Source organism: Homo sapiens, chromosome 6, assembly GCF_000001405.40.
Source record: "Homo sapiens chromosome 6, GRCh38.p14 Primary Assembly".
Classification (NCBI taxonomy): domain Eukaryota; kingdom Metazoa; phylum Chordata; class Mammalia; order Primates; family Hominidae; genus Homo; species Homo sapiens.
In genome coordinates, this window is record NC_000006.12 from 73836413 (window position 1) to 73841893 (window position 5481).

At 41.5% G+C, this 5481-nt stretch overlaps 1 annotated feature.

Annotated features, from left to right (window-relative positions):
* Positions 4135–4708: an enhancer, noted in NCBI's record as "OCT4-NANOG-H3K27ac-H3K4me1 hESC enhancer chr6:74550244-74550817 (GRCh37/hg19 assembly coordinates)". NCBI's record gives its function as "activates a minimal SCP1, AML or CMV promoter by ChIP-STARR-seq in naive H9 embryonic stem cells {active_cell/tissue: H9 hESC(naive)}" and the evidence as "EXISTENCE:reporter gene assay evidence [ECO:0000049][PMID:30033119]".

The following is a 5481-nucleotide window of genomic DNA, read 5'->3' on the forward strand; positions in this document are numbered from 1 at the left end:
TTTGTTGCCATTGCTTTTGGTGTTTTAGAAATGAAGTCCTTGCCCATGCCTATGTCCTGAATGGTAATGCCTAGGTTTTCTTCTAGGGTTTTTATGGTTTTAGGTCTAACGTTTAAGTCTTTAATCCATCTTGAATTGATTTTTGTATAAGCTGTAAGGAAGGGATCCAGTTTCAGCTTTCTACATATGGCTAGCCAGTTTTCCCAGCACCATTTATTAAATAGGGAATCCTTTCCCCATTGCTTGTTTTTCTCACGTTTGTCAAAGATCAGATAGTTGTAGATATGCAGCGTTATTTCTGAGGGCTCTGTTGTGTTCCATTGATCTATATCTCTGTTTTGGTACCAGAACCGTGCTGTTTTGGTTACTGTAGCCTTGTAGTAAGTTTGAAGTCAGGTAGTGTGATGCCTCCAGCTTTGTTCTTTTGGCTTAGGATTGACTTAGCGATGCGGGCTCTTTTTTGGTTCCATATGAACTTTAAAGTATTTTTTTCCAATTCTGTGAAGAAAGTCATTGGTAGCTTGATGGGGATGGCATTGAATCTGTAAATTACCTTGGGCAGTATGGCCATTTTCACGATATTGATTCTTCCTACCCATGAGCATGGAATGTTCTTCCATTTCTTTGTATCCTCTTTTATTTCCTTGAGCAGTGGTTTGTAGTTCTCCTTGAAGAGGTCCTTCACATCCCTTGTAAGTTGGATTCCTAGGTATTTTATTCTCTTTGAAGCACTTGTGAATGGGAGTTCACTCATGATTTGGCACTCTGTTTGTCTGTTGTTGGTGTATAAGAATGCTTGTGATTTTGTACATTGATTTTGTATCCTGAGACTTTGCTGAAGTTGCTTATCAGCTTAAGGAGATTTTGGGCTGAGACAATGGGGTTTTCTAGATATACAATCACGTCATCTGCAAACAGAGACAATTTGACTTCCTCTTTTCCTGATTGAATACCCTTTATTTCCTTCTCCTGCCTAATTGCCCTGGCCAGAACTTCCAAGACTATGTTGAATAGGAGTGGTGAGAGAGGGTATCCCTGTCTTGTGCCAGTTTTCAAAGGGAATGCTTCCAGTTTTTGCCCATTCAGTATGATATTGACTGTGGGTTTGTCATAGATAGCTCTTATTATTTTGAAATATGTCCCATCGATACCTAATTTATTGAGAGTTTTTAGCATGAAGGGTTGTTGAATTTTGTCAAAGGCTTTTTCTGCATCTATTGAGATAATCATGTGGTTTTTGTCTTTGGCTGTGTTTATATGCTGGATTACATTTATTGATTTGCATATATTGAACCAGCCTTGCATCCCAGGGATGAAGCCCACTTGATCATGATGGATAAGCTTTTTGATGTGCTGCTGGATTCGGTTTGCCAGTATTTTATTGAGGATTATTGCATCAATGTTCATCAAGGATATTGGTCTAAAATTCTCTTTTTTTGTTGTGTCTCTGCCTGGCTTTGGTATCAGAATGATGCTGGCCTCATAAAATGAGTTAGGGAGGATTCCCTCTTTTTCTATTGATTGGAATAGTTTCAGAAGGAATGGTACCAGTTCCTCCTTGTACCTCTGGCAGAATTCGGCTGTGAATCCATCTGGTCCTGGACTCTTTTTGGTTGGTAAACTATTGATTATTGCCACAATTTCAGCTCCTGTTATTGGTCTATTCAGAGATTCAATTTCTTCCTGGTTTAGTCTTGGGAGGGTGTATGTGTCCAGGAATTTATCCATTTCTTCTAGATTTTCTAGTTTATTTGCATAGAGGTGTTTGTAGTATTCTCTGATGGTAGTTTGTATTTCTGTGGGATCGGTGGTGATATCCCCTTTATCATTTTTTATTGCGTCTATTTGATTCTTCTCTCTTTTTTTCTTTATTAGTCTTGCTAGCGGTCTATCAATTTTGTTGATCCTTTCAAAAAACCAGCTCCTGGATTCATTAATTTTTTGAAGGGTTTTTGTGTCTCTATTTCCTTCAGTTCTGCTCTGATTTTAGTTATTTCTTGCCTTCTGCTAGCTTTTGAATGTGTTTGCTATTGCTTTTCTAGTTCTTTTAATTGTGAAGTTAGGGTGTCAATTTTGGATCTTTCCTGCTTTCTCTTGTGGGCATTTAGTGCTATAAATTTCCCTCTACACACTGCTTTGAATGCGTCCCAGAGATTCTGGTATGTTGTGTCTTTGTTCTCATTGGTTTCAAAGAACATCTTCATTTCTGCCTTCATTTCGTTATGTACCCAGTAGTCATTCAGGAGCAGGTTGTTCAGTTTCCATGTAGTTGAGCGGTTTTGAGTGAGATTCTTAATCTTGAGTTCTAGTTTGATTGCACTGTGGTCTGAGAGACAGTTTGTTATAATTTCTGTTCTTTTACATTTGCTGAGGAGAGCTTTACTTCCCAGTATGTGGTCAATTTTGGAATAGGTGTGGTGTGGTGCTGAAAAAAATGTATATTCTGTTTATTTGGGATGGAGAGTTCTGTAGATGTCTATTAGGTCCGCTTGGTGCAGAGCTGAGTTCAATTCCTGGGTATCCTTGTTGACTTTCTGTCTCGTTGATCTGTCTAATGTTGACAGTGGGGTGTTAAAGTCTCCCATTATTAATGTGTGGGAGTCTAAGTCTCTTTGTAGGTCACTCAGGACTTGCTTTATGAATCTTGGTGCTCCTGTATTGGGTGCATATATATTTAGGATAGTTAGCTCTTCTTGTTGAATTGATCCCTTTACCATTATGTAATGGCCTTCTTTGTCTCTTTTGATCTTTGTTGGTTTAAAGTCTGTTTTATCAGAGACTAGGATTGCAACCTCTGCCTTTTTTTTGTTTTCCATTGGCTTGGTAGATCTTCCTGCATCCTTTTATTTTGAGCCTATGTGTGTCTCTGCACGTGAGATGGGTTTCCTGAATACAGCACACTGATGGGTCTTGACTCTTTATCCAATTTGCCAGTCTGTGTCTTTTAATTGGAGCATTTAGTCCATTTACATTAAAGATAATATTGTTATGTGTGAATTTGATCCTGTCATTATGATGTTAGCTGGTGATTTTGCTCATTAGTTGATGCAGTTTCTTCCTAGTCTCGATGGTCTTTACATTTTGGCATGATTTTGCAGCGGCTGGTACTGGTTGTTCCTTTCCATGTTTACTGCTTCCTTCAGGAGCTCTTGTAAGGCAGGCCTGGTGGTGAGAAAATCTCTCAGCATTTGCTTGTCTGTAAAGTATTTTATTTCTCCTTCACTTATGAAGCTTAGTGAAGTTTCTCCTTCACTTATGAAGCATATCAACCCAGATATGAAATTCTGGGTTGAAAATTCTTTTCTTTAAGATTGTTGAATATTGGCCCCCACTCTCTTCTGGCTTGTAGGGTTTCTGCCGAGAGATCCGCTGTTAGTCTGATGGGCTTCCCTTTGAGGGTAACCCGACCTTTCTCTCTGGCTGCCCTTAACATTTTTTCCTTCATTTCAACTTTGGTGAATCTGACAATTATGTGTCTTGGAGTTGCTCTTCTCGAGGAGTATCTTTGTGGCATTCTCTGTATTTCCTGAATCTGAACGTTGGCCTGCCTTGCTAGATTGGGGAAGTTCTCCTGGATAATATCCTGCAGAGTGTTTTCCAACTTGGTTCCATTCTCCCCATCACTTTCAGGTACACCAGTCAGACGTAGATTTGGTCTTTTCACATAGTCCCATATTTCTTGGAGGCTTTGCTCATTTCTTTTTATTCTTTTTTCTCTAAACTTCCCTTCTTGCTTCATTTCATTCATTTCATCTTCCATTGCTGATACCCTTTCTTCCAGTTGATCGCATCGGCTCCTGAGGCTTCTGCATTCTTCACGTAGTTCTCGAGCCTTGGTTTTCAGCTCCATCAGCAACTTTAAGCGCTTCTCTGTATTGGTTATTCTAGTTATACATTCTTCTAAATTTTTTTCAAAGTTTTCAACTTCTTTGCCTTTGGTTTAAATGTCCTCCCGTAGCTCAGAGTAATTTGATTGTCTGAAGCCTTCTTCTCTCAGCTGGTCAAAGTCATTCTCCATCCAGCTTTGTTCCGTTGCTGGTGAGGAACTGCGTTCCTTTGGAGGAGGAGAGGTGCTCTGCTTTTTAGAGTTTCCAGTTTTTCTGTTCTGTTTTTTCCCCATCTTTGTGGTTTTATCTACTTTTGGTCTTTGATGATGGTGATGTACAGATGGGTTTTTGCTGTGGATGTCCTTTCTGTTAGTTTTCCTTCTAACAGAGAGGACCCTCAGCTGCAGGTCTGTTGGAATACCCTGCCGTGTGAGGTGTCAGTGTGCCCCTGCTAGGGGGGGTGCCTCCCAGTTAGGCTGCTTGGGGGTCAGGGGCCAGGGACCCACTTGAGGAGGCAGTCTGCCCATTCTCAGATCTCCAGCTGCATGCTGGGAGAACCACTGCTCTCTTCAAAGCTGTCAGACAGGGACATTTAAGTCTGCAGAGGTTACTGCTGTCTTTTTGTTTGTCTGTGCCCTGCCCCCAGAGGTGGAGCTTACAGAGGCAGGCAGGCCTCCTTGAGCTGTGGTGGGCTCCACCCAGTTGGAGCTTCCCGGCTGCTTTGTTTACCTAATCAAGCCTGGGTAATGGCGGGCGCCCCTCCCCCAGCCTCGCTGCCGCCTTGCAGTTTGATCTCAGACTGCTGTGCTAGCAATCAGCGAGACTCCGTGGGCGTAGGACCCTCCGAGCCAGGTGCAGGATATAATCTCGTGGTGCGCCGTTTTTTAAGCCCGTTGGAAAAGCGCAGTATTCGGGTGGGAGTGACCCGATTTTCCAGGTGCCATCCGTCACCCCTTTCTTTGACTCAGAAAGGGAACTCCCTGACCCCTTGCACTTCCCAAGTGAGGCAATGCCTCGCCCTGCTTCGGCTCGTGCGCGGTGCACGCACCCACTGACCTGCGCCCACTGTCTGGCACTCCCTAGTGAGATGAACCCGGTACCTCAGATGGAAATGCAGAAATCACCCATCTTCTGCGTCGCTCACGCTGGGAGCTGTAGACTGGAGCTGTTCCTACTTGGCCATCTTCTGTGTGTTCTTATTAAATTATCTACTTTCTTTCTACGCTTGCCCAAGTCTGCAGGAATAAGGTTTCAATTGTTTTTGGTTTTAACTAATTTCAGTAATTAACATAGTAGTTGTGAATTATTAAATATACTTTTTAAGTATTATAATGACAAAATAAGAGATATTATGAAAAGATAGTAATTGACTTCTTTATACCAGAATTGAAAAAAACCCTAAAGCTTCCCCTTAAAAATTCTGCGTCTCTCTCAGCTTTGACTCTATCTCATCTCCTTTCATAGCTAAACTTCTTGACAGAGTTTTTTATATTTATTACCTACATTCCTTTGCTTATCATTCCTCAGACCACTAAAACCTGGACTTACCTTGCAGAAGCTACTCTAAATCTAGTGATTGGCTCTCTTATTCTCCATCAAATGGACAGTGTCCTTGCTTGTCTTCTTGACATCTTAGCATTTGGCACTGTTGACT